The sequence below is a fragment of the Homo sapiens genome, chromosome 6, assembly GCF_000001405.40.
Source record: "Homo sapiens chromosome 6, GRCh38.p14 Primary Assembly".
Lineage (NCBI taxonomy): Eukaryota > Metazoa > Chordata > Mammalia > Primates > Hominidae > Homo > Homo sapiens.
Window position 1 is genome coordinate 163,531,171 of NC_000006.12, and position 17,168 is coordinate 163,548,338.

The 17,168-nt window shown below is 35.0% G+C and overlaps 1 protein-coding gene across 9 annotated transcripts in view, besides 2 other annotated features; it reads left to right on the top strand.

Moving 5' to 3' along the window:
- Window positions 1-17,168, top strand: part of QKI (QKI, KH domain containing RNA binding) — a 163,875-nt gene that overhangs the window by 116,453 nt on the left and 30,254 nt on the right. For 6 of the 9 annotated variants that reach the window (NM_206855.3, NM_206854.3, NM_206853.3 and 3 more), the window contains exon 4: window positions 3,812-3,955. The exons of 2 other annotated variants lie outside the window; for them this stretch is intronic. In NM_206855.3, the coding sequence (NP_996737.1) occupies window positions 3,812-3,955 (144 nt within the window). Of the gene's footprint in view, window positions 1-3,811; window positions 3,956-15,996; window positions 16,257-17,168 lie in introns of those variants that run through there. One more of the 9 variants, XM_011536261.2, reaches the window with a different exon arrangement.
- Window positions 4,387-4,568: a silencer, noted in NCBI's record as "fragment chr6:163956589-163956770 (GRCh37/hg19 assembly coordinates)". NCBI's record gives its function as "represses an EF-1alpha promoter that drives an FKBP-Casp9 reporter gene in an ReSE screen in K562 erythroleukemia cells {active_cell/tissue: K562}" and the evidence as "EXISTENCE:reporter gene assay evidence [ECO:0000049][PMID:32094911]".
- Window positions 11,923-12,608: an enhancer, noted in NCBI's record as "NANOG hESC enhancer chr6:163964125-163964810 (GRCh37/hg19 assembly coordinates)". NCBI's record gives its function as "activates a minimal SCP1, AML or CMV promoter by ChIP-STARR-seq in naive H9 embryonic stem cells {active_cell/tissue: H9 hESC(naive)}" and the evidence as "EXISTENCE:reporter gene assay evidence [ECO:0000049][PMID:30033119]".

Below are 17,168 nucleotides of genomic sequence, written 5' to 3' on the forward strand. Positions count from 1 at the left end.
AGCATTGTAGCGTCTTTTATTAACTCTCTGAAGGGTCAGTTGTTCAAGTCTCCTGTCCCCAAGATGTGGGCCTGGGTTCCCTTGCTCTGCATTTGGAGCAGGGGAGATGGCCGGCCAGCCCAGCTGTCAGAGTGGAAGTTACCCTGTCAACTGTTCTCCTAATGCAGTTTGAGCAAGTGTTTTACTTCCTTTCAGAATCAGTTTCTGGTCTACTGCTGGGAATTAGGGAGTGCTTGATAGCTAGCCATTTGTGGACAGGGGATATGGGAATTGAACTGCTTTTTAATGAGAGTTCATCTAGTCCTGCAATCTCAGCCCCACCCTCACCCCTGTTTTCACTGCTGCCCATTTCCTCAGTATTTTTGGGGTGGATTGCAAGGAAATAAGTTTCTTTCTTAACTAGAGTCAGGTAAATTTTAAGTTAACCATCTGCTTTCTAGATTCTTAATTTTTAAATGGTTTCCTTTCCCATTTTCTTACTTCTTACGAGTTTGGACATTTTATTTATTTATTTATAATAGACACAGGGTCTGACTGTTCCCCAGGCTGGCCTTGAACTCCTGGGCTCAAGCAGTCTTCCTGCCTCGGCCCCCCCAAAGTGCTGGGATTACAGGCATGAGCCACTGTGCCCGGCTGAGTTTGTACATTTTAAACTCTGCAGTGTTGTAGAAGAATTTTTGGTGGGAGTGTAAGTACACCATTCCATTAATTTCTCCATCTTTGAAAATTTTTGCTCCTTCAATTGTTTTTAAAAGTGTAAGCAAAAATGTTGATTTTGAAGCAAACAGGGTAGATGTAGCTTTCTCCTATTTTTATATTTTTAACTATCATTTAAGTTGTTGAATTAGTAAGAGTACGCATTGGCCAAGTGTTTTACACCTTAAAAATGTATTCTTGCAATAAAGCAAAATGGCAAATAATACTGCAACTTTGTTTCTATCATGAAAATAATTATTCCTTTTAAATTCTCTGGCTTTTCTCCATGTATAGAGGTTTCTGCGGCAAGTCAAATTTTAGTTTTTATTCTTAAGCTTTTCTCAAAAATATTTGATTATAAATGTTCCTCAGTTTTCATTGTATTAGTATCTATATGCATTAGTGTTTGACACACACACATAGAGCTTTTAATGTCTTTGTCTATTTATAATAACATCTGTATCACTTCTAGATTGGTTTGAGTGAATTGATTGGGGGGGAGGTGGTCTCATGTATTGCATTTTTCTTGCTGCTTTGCATGCCCGTTAATTTCTAATTGTATGCCAGACTTTTACCTTGTTGGGTGGATATTTTTATATTCCTATAAATATCTTTGAGCTTTGTCCTGGGACACAGTTAAGTTAGTTGGAAATAATTTAAGGCATTTGGTCTTACTTTTAAAATGTATTTAGTTGTACTGGAACAATGCTTAGATTAGGTTTAGTTTTTTCCTACCACTGAGGCAAGACCTTTCTGTGTCCCTTACCCGTGGGGAATCCTTCAAGTCTTTCAGTCTTGTTCTTTTCTAGAGCCAGGCACTTTGACCTGGAATCCTTTTGGGTGGTTCCTTCCCTGGCCTCTGGAATTTTCTCTCAAGTATGCAACGATCAGGGTTCAGCTGAATATTTGAGTGGCAGCTCTCCCAGGACTCTCTGAGCTTTGGCTGCCTCGGTTTCCCTGGACTCTTGCTTAGTCTCCTCATGGAGTTGTCTGGAGACTCTCAAGCCAGTGAGTGGGGGCAGTTATAGGCTCACCTCAGTTGTTCCCAACTCTGTGTCATTTGTCCTTAGTTGTCTGATGTCCAGTGGCTTGAAACTTGTTGATACGTTTTGCCAGTTTTTTGGTTGTTTCAGCAGGAAGGTGAATCTGGTTCCTGTTACTATATCTTGCCTGGAAACAGAAGTCCCTCATATATATGCGTTTAGTCAAATAGGTGCACTTTTAGGCCCACCAAATAATACCAGACTAGTAGCTTTTGTAGGTCTCTCTCCAAAAAAAAAAAGATAAATAAAAAATACAAATTTTGGTGAGAAAATACTGTTAGCATTCTTGAACATAACAATTGAAATCTGGATAACAAAACTAATTTTTCTTGCCACAGTTAGAGATATTAATACATATTTTATTTCTTGCCATACAGATAACCCTGAGGTTTCCAGTTTCTTGATTCATTGACTCCTTGGTTTCCCACTTAGTTTGCATGGTGTACCCTAGTCAAAAAGAAATATTTCAGAGTTCTGTTTATTAAATATTTACTCTACAAACAACTTTGAAACAGACTATACATTTTATTTGTAAATAACCACATTTTTACTAATAGCATTTGTATTTTCTTGGGTGCTGTTCAAATTCTCAAACTTTGGAATCAGATTTTTGTACTGCCACCCTCTTTTCTTGTTCCACATTGATTTTTGTATGTTCTTGATTTTTATTACAGCAACCGCTAACAACCTAGCTTTGTAAAGATATGACATCATCAAAAAGAATGTAATGTGACCTTATGTTGAAACAGTCAGATATTCTGAGCTGGTGGTTCACACAGTGTCGGACAGATGGTACCCCTGTAAAATGCTGTGCTGACTCAGAGTTCACTCTTTGGAAATACATAGATGGCCCAGCATAGGATTGTGTCTGATTTTTTTTTTCCCTGTATCCCCTTACAATATGTGGATGCATTTTCATCCTAAAGATGTGTTGATTAAAAATAAAGCAGAAGCATTTACTGTTAAAATTTATTTTTAGCCTTATTGGCTAAGCTCAATCATGTGAATTGTTGCAGAAAGCAGTTTTATTATGCCTGCTTTATTTTCTTTTACTGGAATCTAACAATTAGGTAAATAGTAACTTCTAAAATAAAGGTCCAAAAACAGCAGATATTTATTGTTTGTCTGTGGTACCTTGCTGTGTGCCAGGTGCATTTATATTTACCATTTATATACTACTTATATATTCTTATTTTATTTAAAAACACTTTCTCTAAAACTTAAAACAGCGATTCTGAAATTATGCCAACTCTACTTAACCTCCCTGTAGCTTAACCAGGTTTTCAACATGGGGATATTTCTTACTAGAAGACATTAAGGAAATGAAATATAGATATTCTCTATGAAACTAGTATTTATGACTTGATATAATTAAAGAGTAGCCTTACAGTTAATTTTAAGGTATGGTCTGATGGGAATGTAGATAAAACTATTTTCATAATTACCGCATGAAATACTTAAAACAAGTGGTAGTCATCTTACACAATAACATCTATATGCAAAATACCTTTTCTAATGCTGAATACAACCAATGTCATTAAAAGCAGTTGTAATGAAGTGGAAAGATCACTGAATTAGAGAATGAAAACTTTGATTCAGTTCCTAAATTGACAGCCTGTTAGCTGTGTGACATTGAGAGGTGACCCCCTTAACCTTGATGACCTTCTGTTTACTTATAAGTAAAATGCAGAAATAATGACATGTTTCTCAAAGTGTTTTTCATGGTAATGTAAGGACAGTATCAGATGTATGTTGTATGATACTACATACATGATGATGATGTATGCTTCTAGTGCATAGGAGCACGCTTGGGGCTGATCTTTAGCATCTGGTTCTGTGCCTGGTAGATAGTAAGTGCTCAGTAAATACTTGTTGGATTAATTATCATTTGACCCAGTAGTCTCACATTCAATCAAACTTTGAGGACCCAGAAAAATAATTCAAAGACTTGTGCCATCATAGCAAAATAATGCAAACATAGCTGAAATAATTGACAACAGGTTAGTATTATGAAAGATGTGCTCTCTCTTTAAAGAGAATAATTTTAATCATGTACTCTGTAAATTTTTTAGGAGGAGCAAAATAGAGGCAAGCCCAATTGGGAGCATCTAAATGAAGATTTACATGTACTAATCACTGTGGAAGATGCTCAGAACAGAGCAGAAATCAAATTGAAGAGAGCAGTTGAAGAAGTGAAGAAATTATTGGTACCTGCAGTAAGTAATAATTTCCAGACCTTAGATTTGGGCCTCGTCCTTTTTTGTCAGTTTATTTTAAATTATCGTAATGTTTATAAGGAATAGGTTATTGGTTGTTAGAAATTTTATTTAAGCATAAAATTAAAAACACCTGACTGATACTTCTAACATAATAAAAACATAAAGTTCGTATTTAGGGGTCCTTAGATAGACATTAAAAGGGGTTTTGGAGGGTGACGTCGCGTAAGAAATTATCCAGATGCTTTTGTGTTATCAGTTCTCCTTCCTTCCCGGTTTCTCTTTCCCCATCTCTTCCCCCATCTCTTCCCTCTGCCCCCCTTCCTTGGGTTGGCTCCTTATTGTTTCTTAACCCTTTAATATTTTTAGAAATAATAATTGTACTACTCCCAGAGTATAATTTTTTTTTTTTTAACGGGAAATGAAAAATAAATTACTGGTTTTCTGGGCCATTAATTTTTTTTTCTTATATTAGTAAAACTATATGGAAATGTGGACCCTAATTTGCTATTGGAAAAACTAGGGCTGGGTGCGGTGGCTCATGCCTGTAATCCCAGCACTTTGGGAGGCTGAGGCGGTTGGATCACCTGAGGTCAGGAGTTTGAGCCCAGCCTGGCCAACATGGTGAAACCCCATCTCTACTAAAAATACAAAAAATAAGTCGGGCGTGATGGCAGGCACCTGTAATCCCAGCTACTTGGGAGGCTGAGGCATGAGAATCGCCTGAGCCTGGGAGGCAGAGGTTGCAGTGAGCTGAGATTGCGCCACTATACTCCAGCCTGGGTGACAGAGTGAGACCCTGTCTCAAAAAAGAAAAGAAAAAACTAGGAATACTGTTAGTATTGTGTCCAACAAAAAGCATTGGCATTTACATAAATGAGTTATGGTTCCTGCTGCTTTTTATTTCCCAGATAGCCTATTCTTTATTACCCTGATAGTTTATTCAACAAGTAAACTCACAAATCATAAACATTTCCCATTAACTTGATGAAATTAATTCCTTGGAATAAAAGAGTTTTATGTAAATTCTGTTGGTAGATTTTATTTTTTTTAATGATCAGGTTAAATATAAACTAAAATCTATATTTGTGTACTATTAAACCATGGAATCTTTCTCATTTTCCTTAATTGTGTGGTATTGAAAAACTGTATAGAAAAGGAGATTTTCGAAAGTATACTGGGCAATTAGTGTCATGATCAGAAAAAGTTATTTAACATCGACTTTTACTGCTTTAATAACATTTTCTTTTCTGTAGCTTACTTTATTGTAAGAATACGGTATATAACATATAAAACATACAAAATATATGTTGATCAACTGTCAGGCTTCCAGACGACAGTGGGCTATTCGTCACATTTTGGGAGAGTTGAAAGTTACACAAGGATCTTTGATGCAGTCTGTGTCCCTGACAACCGAGCCCTCCCTTGTTGTTTGAGGATCAACTGGATATTGTTAGCGTCTTTTAAATTTTCTATTTACCCAGTCACCTGTAATCTCTTGTCTTGCTTACCATTTTTATTTCTAGTGTTTAGCATAGAGCCCAGCACATAGCAATAACATAGTAAATTGAAAAATAAATGATTGAATCTTGTCATAAGGTAAAATCAGTTCCTTCATCTTCACTATAGAAATGCATAAAATAACTGAATTTTCCTGAAGCATCAAATGATTTGGGTTTTTACTTAAATAAATGTGGGAGACAGAATACATCATATTTTTGAGAACTCACTTCCTGGTTTTTGAATCCCAGCTTTGTGACTTTTAACTGTCTTCATTTTCTCATCTATGAGATTGGAACATGGCCAAGCATGGTGACTCATGCCTATAATCCCAACACTTTGGGATGCTGTGGTGGGAGGATCATTTGAGGTCAGGAGTTCGAGACCAGCCTGGGCAACATAGCAAGACCCCTTTATACAAAAAATTTAAAAAGTAGCTGGGCCTGGTGGCACATGCCTATAGTCCCAGCTACTTGGGAGGCTAATGTGGAAGGATCGCTGAGGCCAAGAAGTTGAGCTATATGATAGCACCACTGTACGCCAGCCTGGGTGACAGAATAAGACCCTGTCCCTTAGGGGGGAAAAGAAAGTTTGGAGCATTATAAACCCCTATACTTCTTGTGAAGATTAAATGAGATGATACATGGAGAATACTTAGCATAATACCTAGCACATACATGCTCTGTAAAAGTTTGTTGTTTCTATACAAATGCTGATGATAAAATGAATGCATTAATTCAAGTTGGAAAAAATGTACAGAAATAGTTCCTTGCCAACTCACTGTTACTGTTTTCAGAGAAGTTGCTTTGACTTCTATGAAAATGCAACATAAGGCTCATTAGTTTATCATTGCCTAAATATTTTCAAAGGCAGATATTTTATCTTGAAATGTACCTTTAATAGTGAGGTTCATAATTTTGTATTGTTGACAGTTTGAATAGCAGATGCCCAGTTACCCTGTAGATTAACAGAAATTGCCAGTCTTTTGGTTTGGAATTCTCAGTTACGCTTTTCTTGTTCGTTCAGTATTCTGTTGGGTAGTTTAGACTTTTTAACTTGTTACCATGGTCCTGAAAAACACCAAGTTCAGTCAGGTTACTTCCTGTCTCTCTCAGATTTGCTTACCTTCCTTCATCCCCATTGCCTTTACCTACTTCAAACCATGCTTGTATCAGAACCCCACAACTGGTATTCCTTCTTCTGGGGCCTCTCAAACCCATCTTTACTTTGCAGTCTATTGTTACCTTTCCCTGCTTAAAGATTTTTTAGTGGTGCCTTCTTACTCTGAGAAAAGAATACAAAACTCCTTAGCATGGCCTACAAATTTCTTCATGATTTGCCATAGCTTACCTTTCAGGTTTCATTTTTTTACTTTTTGCTATACCTAAAGCACACAGTCATATGTACACATCTTCCTCATCCTGCCACAGATTGAGTTGTTCTGTATTTATTTGAATTTCTTAAAGCTTCAGTCTTCTCACCTCTGGGCCTTGTAGTTCATTCAACAAATGTTAATTGAATGCCTGCTGTAGGTTAGACACTGTGACAGCTGTGGAGGATACACCAATAATAAATAAAAGCTGACCAGCAAAGTGCCTGCCATCCTGAAGTTTACCTTCTGATTGGGGTTGGATTACTGACAATGAGGAAAACAAATATAGGCAATATTCTCTTTTAACAAAGTGCTGCGAAGAAAAATAAAGCAGAATAAGGGAATAGAGAACTGGGATTAGGGAACTGCTATTTTATATGGGCTGGTAAGAGAAGGTGACATCTAAGAAAAAACCTTAGCGAAAAGTGCGGTGGCCCTGAGGCATGTTCAGAGAGTATCCAGGGGTCCAGTGAGGAGCTTAATGAGCCGGCTGAAGAGCAGTAGGAGGTGAGGTCGGTGGGGATGGGAGGCACTGGCAGATCCAAGGCCTGTAGGCATGGGAAGGAGATTGGGTTTTAGTCCGAGATGAGAAGCTATTTATTGGAGGAATTTGAGGAAAGGAGGGACAAAGTGTAATTTGTATTTCAAAGGATCATTCCAGCTGCTGGCCTGAGAATAGACTTTGAGGGCAGTGGGGAAAGCAGAGATTCCAATAAGGAAGTCTTTGCAGTTCAAGTTAGAGATTAAAGTGATTTGGAGTAGTGTTGAAGGTGCTGAGAAGTAGTAAGATCATGGATTTTTTTGAAGGTAAAACTGCTAGGAATTTTGACAGACTTGGTGTGATATGATATGTGATAACTTCAAGCAATTGGAGTTGTCATTTATTTACACTTTTACAAGAGCAGGTTTGGGAGGAAAGTCAAAAAATTGGATTTGAAAGTATAAAAGTTGATAGCAAATGTTGAATGGGCATTTGGTTATAACAGGAATTAGGTGAGAAAGTGGAACCTAGAATTATGTAGAATTAAGAATTGTCATTAGATCAAAAGCTTTTTGAGCCATGAGACTGGATGTATCATCAAGAAATTGGATATAAGTATAGAAGAAAAATTGAGGACTAAACCTGGGGTGCTTCACCATGTAACAGGAAGAGAGGGAGGATCCAGCAAGGGAGAGCAAAGCGGGGAGCCCCTGGATTTGGAGGAGAGCTGTGAGCCAGTCCTGGAAGTCATGCTTAGACCTTTTAGGTAGGAAGAGGAAATCATCAGCCATTGGATTTGGCAAGTAGTGGTCATTGGTGACCTTGCCAGTCAATTTGTTTTTTTTGGAACAGTGGGGTTAAAAGTGTCACTGGCATGGGTTCAAGAAAGAATGGCACAAGAGGAAAAAGAACCGGGATTTTTTCCCTCTTCAAGATTTTATTATGTTTATAAATAATCCTTCCTGTACTTTGGCCTCTCGGTTCTTTTATATTGCTTCACCTGCAGTGATCGTGTCTTCCACTCCACCTCAGTCATCCAGCCTCATGGTAGTTCCTTAGACCTTTCCATTACCCCTAAAGGTGCCTTCCTAAATAGGCAGCGGCAGAATGTCCAGTAGTGAACATTTCCCTTCTCTTCAGTGGAAGAGATGCTGCATGAATTTGGCAGAGTTAATTAACTTGTGCATATATACTTGAAGGGTAAGTCTCTTGAAGTAGAATTACTAGGTTAAAGGGTAAGTGCATTTTAAATTTTATTATTTTATTCATGTTAAAATTTCTAAGTTGCCTTCCAGAAAATTTGTACCAATTTACTGTCCTGCCAGTATTGCAGGAAAATGCCTATTTCTCAACACACACTCAAACCCTGGATATTATCAAACTTTGATCTTTGCTTTTTCTAATAGGCTTTTTTTTAAAAGCCCTTTAATTTCAAAAATGTGAGTAAAATCTCTTGGTTCTTATAACTATTTGTTATTTAGGTCAGTTTTTATATTAAGGAGCTTTGTGATACTTACGTAACATGAGATACTTTTGTAATGTAAGAACTTTAATGTTCACATCTTGAACTGTTTTTTTTTTAAATGGGAAATATTCCATTTACATTATCATATAAAGAATGAATAAGTTCTTTTTTTTTGGAAAGATAGAGTAAGTTCTTTTTTAGAAAGACAAAGAGTTTTGTGTATTTTAATCATTTTGTGCCCATTTTGTTAGGTGTTGTATAGCAAAAAACATCTAGTCCAGGCTTGAGGGTCCTAGCAGGGTGGGGAGTAGGGAGGGGCAGACTTTTTGCTTAATATAAACTTTCATAAGGAAATGTAATAAGTATTTTGTGTTTTTCCATCTGCAGAAAAGACTAATAAATCTGATTAAAGATTGTACTTCCTTCTCTTTGTGATGCAGTTCTAATTTTTAAAATAATTTTGAAGATTGTAATATTTCATCAGTTTGCATAACTTTACATGTAACTAAATGTTTAGTAAATCAGTTCAAATCTTTTCAATTCGTATTTGGGTTTCAAAACAATCTGGTAGACTTCTTTGTTTTTTACCAACAAGCGTGCAAACTCAGAGAAGCTTGAGCATTATAAGGGCAATTATACTTGTTTCTTTTCAGAGAACAGTTCAGTATTGTAATTATACTGCAAAAGTAATAAGGGTTTTGAGATAATCACACACCATTTATTAGTAGAATCAAATAATATTTTACCTGGAGAACATGTTTACTCTGAAAATGACACCAGTTTAGTTTCAGATGTTTCTTTGATTTTGATGATCAGTTTACTTTATTCCTTTTTGTTTCCTGGTGACAAAACATGAAATAACTAGGCAGGAGTTGTTTCTCAAGTTATATGTAGGTTTTTATCTAGTCTAAATTGGTTGACTTCAAATATCTACTTTTTTTTTCTTCCTGATCCAATCTAGTTCTAGAGTTTTATCAATTTTATCAACCGTTTTCTAAGTATCAGCTTTTGGTTTTGTTGATTTTTCTCAATTTTTTTTCTGTTTTATTGATATCTGCTTTTACATCTTTATTCTACTAAGGTTTAGTTTTACTTGGGGACATTTTAAAGGTAGATCAGTGATTTGAGACCTGTCTTTTGTACTTCTGAGACTTTTCTTTTAAGGACATACATTCCTCTCTGAGTAATGTTTTAGCTGTATCCAACAAATAATATTATGCTGCGTTTTTATTATCATTCAGTGCAAAAGTTTTTTCCAATTTTCTTTGTAATTTCTTCTTTGAGCCGTGTTTTATTTCCAAATGTTTCCAAATATTTGAGACTTTTCTGTTTATCATACTGTAGATTTCTAATTTGTTATGCTCAGTATGTATTTGATAAGATGGTAGTCTTTTTTAATCTAATAACTTTTTGCTAGCCCAGCATATGGTCTGTTTTGATGAATGTTTCACATACACTTAAAAGAATGTGAATTCTGCAGTAGTTGCGTGTATATTCTGTATTGTTTATAGATGAAGATAGTTGAAAGCACTCAGATCTTCTCCTATGTCTACCCTTTTTTTTTTTTTCCTTTTCTCTAGTTTTGTCTGTTACTGAAAGAGGTGTGTAAAAATCTCCATTCATTCATTGTAAAGATATACACACCAGTGTGTTCTTGATGGCACTGAAAGGGCAAAAGAATTTGGTGTACACATGTACATGCATGCATATCTATGTATGTAATCCGTCTATTATAGCTTATACAACCTGTATGAACATGGTTTGGCATCATTAAAAAGTTTTACTCTATTTCATTTCATATGATAGTAACTTTTTCCTTCTTTTAATTTTGAGGTCTTTATTTTTTTCTCCCCAAATACCAGTTATTTCATGCAGCATCTTTTCTATAAAGATAGTACCAAGCAGTATGGCCTACTTGCCTTAGAGAGACTTTGTAAAGGTAGTAATTATTTTAATTATGTGGACATGAAAGGCGCATACATGTTCCTCCTTCCTCTTTTTGCATTTTATGTGTTTAACTATGTATGGGCTGGTTACTTGCAACTGCATGTCATTTGCAAGTTCAATTTGTGATCCCAAAAGGCACCATACCAGGAGAGAGTACTTCTGTTCCTTCCCTACAAAATGTACCCTGTTTGCTAGTCATGATTTTGTCAATATAGGTTTTTATTTACAAGGAATAGTAGCCCCCCCAAAAAATGAAATTATATAACATTACTAAAAAATAATATATATAAAACTGTCTCTCCACACAGGAGCACACATTATGGGAATGCTTCTCAGGTATCAGATACCATCCTTCCTCCTTCCGTTAATCCTCATTCATCTAGTTGGAAAGTAATACATGATATTTCTTAGTCAAGACTTTATATGGATACATATTCTATGATCTTTTGTGATCTTCTCAGAAGAGACCTAAAACACACAAGAATGGTGAAATTGGAGGAATATTATGCTGGATTATGCTGATATTAAGATTGAGAAAGTAGAGATGAGGGATCCTGTATCTTGTTTTCACTATAATTTTCCCACAGTTTTAATAGGAAGTGGGGAGGTAAAAGGTTTCCATTGGGGAGATAGAGTACTAAGCTTGAAAGGGCTAGACTGTAATACAGAAATTAAGTGATTTCAGGCAACTGAAGTTCATTGATGTTGTCTCATAAGTTAAAACAGACTTTGGCACACAATATGCCTGCAGACCTAGACATTTCATAAAGTGTTGAAATAACAGGTCTTTTTCTTTATGGTGAGTAAAATTGTGTGTTTGTTTTCTCTGTATGTTTACTTTATAGGTATTTGAGAACTTGAATACAGATCAGTTTTTAACATATAGCTGATCTCTTTATATACATGGAGGTCAGTACTATAAAAGTAAATGATCTAATACATGACGACAAATTTCCACCTGCGGGTTTTGAAATTTAAAGTTGTCATCAGGATTATTATGACATTTGAAAATATTCATCAAGACAAAAGTAATTTTAATTCATTTTCAAAAAACTACATGTTATAGAAATTTAGGATAATAGGCATCTGTTACAAAATGCACTTTTTAAAAGTTTGCATTTTGTGTTCCCCAAAGGTTCTTTTCTGTCTGCCATATGCATTTGACTCATAATTAACTGAGTATTAATTATAACCTGAAAATGTTAAGAGTTAATGAATGAGAAGGTAACAGACATCATGACCATAGAGATGTGGTAATTTTATCTTTGATTTAGTTCTTTAACCAAATTGTTAATGAGTTGATGGTACTGCATTTATTTAGTCCTTGATCAAATATTGATCATTGAAATTTGTGGTATTGTTGGCCTCCTTTTCATTTTATTGGGAGAGAAGGAGAGGTATTAAAACATATATTAAAAGACATCTAGAGGTAATGTACTGGCTCCTTGATAGAGCTGTAATGGGAAAGAACATCTCTCATGTAAAGAAAGGTGTTGTTACTGATTTCTACCTTGCAGAGCCATTTTAATCTGAATGGGAAATCTGTCTGGGGACCCAGAGTGTGGTAATTAGCAGTCTCTTCAGAGTGTCAGAGCAGAATTACCATTGTAATGGTTTAGCTGCAGGATAAAAGGATTGAATTTGGGACTGCCTGTCTGCCAACCTAAATGAGTTGCCATGGGAATTTTCAAATGTGAGAGGCGTTTACTTAAAGCTTTTTGGCGGGTTTGAATAAACTCATAAATTGTAGGTTTGAAAGAAGGCAGTCCTTGCTTTCTCTCATATAGGCAAAACTGTATAGAAGGCTGATAGCTTCTTAAATTCTTAATGAGAATGAGTTGATCCATGTTCCCATGCAGGCCATCAGCTTATTCAGGCTTGTTTTTTCACTAAGTATGGTACAATGAAGCACATTTGAGGAAAGACATTTTGTTCCAAGTCTCTAGAGGAAAAAAGTGACAACTCTAGATATAAATTTCCTATCTTAATTTAAATATATTTTCAGATAATGCTATTATACTGATTCTTTGTTTTGCTTTAACAAACGTTAACCAGATACTGACTTTAATTTTACTCAGTGCATGTAATAAATACATATTTTTATCTTTGTCATAGTTTTTCTCACAAAGTAAGAACATTTAAAGCCCTTTTGGAAAATAAATAAGATACTTAGGTTTATAAACTGGATTATTCAGGTTGCACGTAACTACAACCTGCATATACATGGGTTCCGCACCCATGGATTCAACCAATGAGGAAATTCCACAGAGTTTCAAAGAGAGCAAAATTTAAATTTGCATCCTTCAAGCACTACATTGAATCCACATGAATGAAGTGATATGTGGGCGTTGCATTAGGTATTATAAATAATCTAGAGATGATTTAAAGTAGACTGGAGCATGTGCGTAGGTTATATGCAAATACTATGCCATTTTATATCATGGACTTGAGCATTCATGGGTTTTGGTATCTGTAGATTTTGGTGTTCTGGAACCAGTTCCCCGCAGATAATGAGGGACAACTGTACTTTCAGAGAGAGCTTCAGCTCTCCCCTGTCTCTCAAAAGAATTAAATTTTGGTGTAATGACTTTTTAGTGAGAAAATGTTCCTGCAAATGTCTAAGGTGATGAACATCACTTACACTTTGCGTGCCCTCACTCATCCTCAAGATATCAGTAATAGTAGTTCTTACATTGGTGGTTTGTATCTGCCCTTCAGAAAAACACCCGAAGTACAATTTAAGCCAAAAATTTTGAGACTGTAAAATACTTTTAACAAAATAAACATGGTCTTTTTGGAGGTCTTAACATTGTCAAGCCATTAGGGTACAGTTTCATTAAGCAAATAATAATTTGGTTGTTACTAACCCTAGTGGCCTGAAAATGTGGATGCGTCTTTCAAAAATGTTTCACCAGGGAAATGTGGGTATTTTGAGGAGAGAACAGTTGTTCAATTCAGGTGAGAAAGAGTAAAATTTTTTAAGGTACAATACATTTTTTGTTTATATATTAATCTTTACTGGTCAGTATGTAATCACACATCAGTATAATCTGATTAAAATCCTATAGCTCTAAGATAACTGTTGAACCATTAATAAAACTTGAGTCATGGACAGATAATGTCCTAAAATCTCATTTAAGTGTAGAATACAAAGACCCATGTAGTCCTTACCAGAGATCTCTGTAATTTCTGCAGAGCTCCTTGGAATCACAGCCATCACCTTTGTGTGCTGTGTGTAAGGTACTCTCATGGGTATGTGCTGCTTTGGGAAAAATGATGGCGGAGAAAAGCACTGCAGAAATTTAAATGTGCTGATTTTCTTTCCTGTGAAGAGGGACAATTCTAAGTAAAATCCAGTTCTATATCAGGGTCATAATTTTTATATTCTATCTCCACATTTTAGGTGTGTGGCTTATTCTGCATTAGGACAACAGGCACATTGTCCTAACTAGAATTTTCACAAATAATTAAAAGTACCATTTGATTCGGGTGACATTCCATACAGACAGATTAAGAAGTTTGCCAAGGTATAGGTTTTAAGACTTCCCTCAACATCATACCATAATTATCTAAATCATTGAGCAGCTATATAAATCTTTGCTTACCGTCTGTCCAGCCGTAATGTTGCCTGGCAGTGACTGTGGCTTCTTAAACACAACAGAGGGCTTTTCCTTAAACTTGGATGTTTAGTTTGATCAGGCTCCTTGGTGATAAAAAAATATGTCTTGTTTCTGGGAACTGAACAAGCTTTCCCAAACAGAGACTCTGTATGAATAACATCCTCCTCTTGATTCTTGTAAGGATTCGTTGAGGAACCGCTTCTTTCAACACAAGGTTTTGTTCAGGTTGACAAAAGGTTTAGACATCTTGTAATTCTAAATTTTAGGCGTTGCAAATGTAAAAAAAAGGGACCCTGGGCATAGAATAATAGGGCCTAGGATATATTTATTAAATTAAATATTTATACCCTAGGAAATATTTTTGCATTTGTAAAGGAAGTCCTTTTACTTTAACTTTGTATTCCTTGCACCCCTCAGAATTTGCATATTTAGTTTGTAACACTTTATAATTGCTTGTACCTATTAATTTAAATATTAATGTAAACTATTTTATAATTGGTATAAATATATAATTATATATTTTATATAATTATATAAAATATTAATATTTATGTCCCATAAACTTCTCATTGGTTGGGATAATGCATTTTAGTGTTTGGGGTTTTTTAAAAATTTCTTTATTAAATGTATGATATTCTACACAGATACTGTAAAATTAATTTCAATACATATTTTTAAATATTTATTAGAAAAATAGGCGAGTGATTTCTCAGTGTATTTTCTTTAGTTCAATTATTTTCATACATCACTTTAATTTGTTTGCATGCCCTTCTGATGGTGGGTAAGTAGCATCATGTTCCTTATATATAGGCAAAGTATTTGTAATCATTCACTTTATAGTAGGGTGCATTGAACTTGAATTAGTAAAAACATTAAGAAAATCACATGTCCCTTACTATATTTAATGTGCCTGTGTTTTAACTCATATTTAATTTTTCTTTACCACATTTCAGATGTTTCAGTGTTTTGATATTTTTAAGTAAAATTATTAGGAGTAACCATTGTGACATTTTAATAGTATATTAAATGATTCAGAAATCACATGTCCCTTACTATATTTACTTTGCTTGTATTTTAACTCATATTTAATTTTTCTTTACTACATTTCAAATGTTTTAGTGTTTTGATATTTATAAGTAAAATTAAGATAGTAACCATTGTGACATTTTAATAGTATATTAAAAGATTCAAATAAGCATTTTAGTATTAAGATTATTTCAGGTAAGCTTTTGGTAGCTCATTATAGCTTTATTTTTGGTTGTATTTTTAATAACTATTTTGGAAAATTTGAAAGTGACTATTAAATTATCCTGCTTATTCATCACAAGGCTCCTTTATGGGAATTAACTCTGAAACCATATTGCCAAATTATATAAATAAGTAGATGTGTTTTGTTTTTTAATTCTCTTAACGTTTAAAACCTTTGTGGAGAAAAACTTAATCTTTAATGTATAAATAAAATATAAGAGTATTTATCAAAGTATCTTTAGTTATGCCTTCAAACTGACATGGCCTCAGCTTATTTTTAGTAACCTTCTTTGTAGAATATAATATTTCTGAGAAAGTTAGCTAATTTAGGAATTAGCTTACTTTGTGACAGTAATTTATGAATTCTCCTGTCAATTTAAATAAAAATACTTTGATTTTTTAATTTAGCATTTGTGGAATTATACTTGGGAATATTTCTTTCAAGCGTTGAACGACTGACAAAAGAAATTCATCTCACAAACTTCTATTGAAAAACTGCAGTTTACAAGGCTAGAAAACAAGACTTCATTATATACAGAGACTTAGATTTCATAATGTAAATGAGAATAGAACAAAATTACTGTGTTCTTAATTGCTTTTTTGATCACTTGATGTCTGCTCTTCAGAACTGTCATGCTCTCACTAGAATTAAAGTATTTCATTTCCAATTTGTTCTTCCTGGACAGTCTGTTCTGTAACCATGCCTCCAGTTACCACTGCAGTGCTGATTGTTTTTCAGCGTGCTTCTAATCTGGAATTCCAAATCAACCAGCCATTCAACACCTCCATGCGGGTGCCACATAGGCATCTCATACATAACATTTTGAAAACTAAAATCACATTCTTCCTTGCCCTCCCCGTATCACAATTCTTCCCTTGTTTTCTCTGTAGAATGATACTTGTTGCCTAGGACTCATCCACCTTCCTTCCACCTTTTTCTCTCCTGCCCTGGCTCCTTCCCATCTATATCATCACCAAGTTCTGTCTGATTCTACCTCCAAATAGCACATATCTTTTCTCCATCTCCACAGATGGAGTAGGTCTGTTACCCATGGTGCTCCCTCCTATCCATTTTCTACTTGAGGCCAAAACTATCTTTTTAATATATAGAAATGTCATCACACTCCTTGTTGTAGGTTTTCAGTGACTTTCTATCACCCCATGGTAAAAATGTATGGCATTCATAGCTTATCTTCATCTAACATGTGCCTACTTTTCCAACTTTGTTTCATGTCATTCCTCCTTTACACTTACACCCACACATATTAAATAACTCACAGTTTTCAGAACACTGTTTGTTTACGTAGTGTATTTTGGCGATCTCCAGAAAGAACTCCGTGATTTGTATTCTGTACTAATATTATAGTAGAATGCATTGTCTATGATAGTGGTGTAGAATTATTAGAACTGAATGTTTGTTTGTTTGTTTATCCCCTTGCCCCTGACTGGGCATTTCAGTGACATGCATGAAGTCTGTTTCATCTTAGTATCTCTCCCTCACTGCCTTGCACATACATAGAAAGTGATCAGTGTTTGTTGAATTAATGATTGAATATTAGTCCTTTAACAAAGCACTTGTT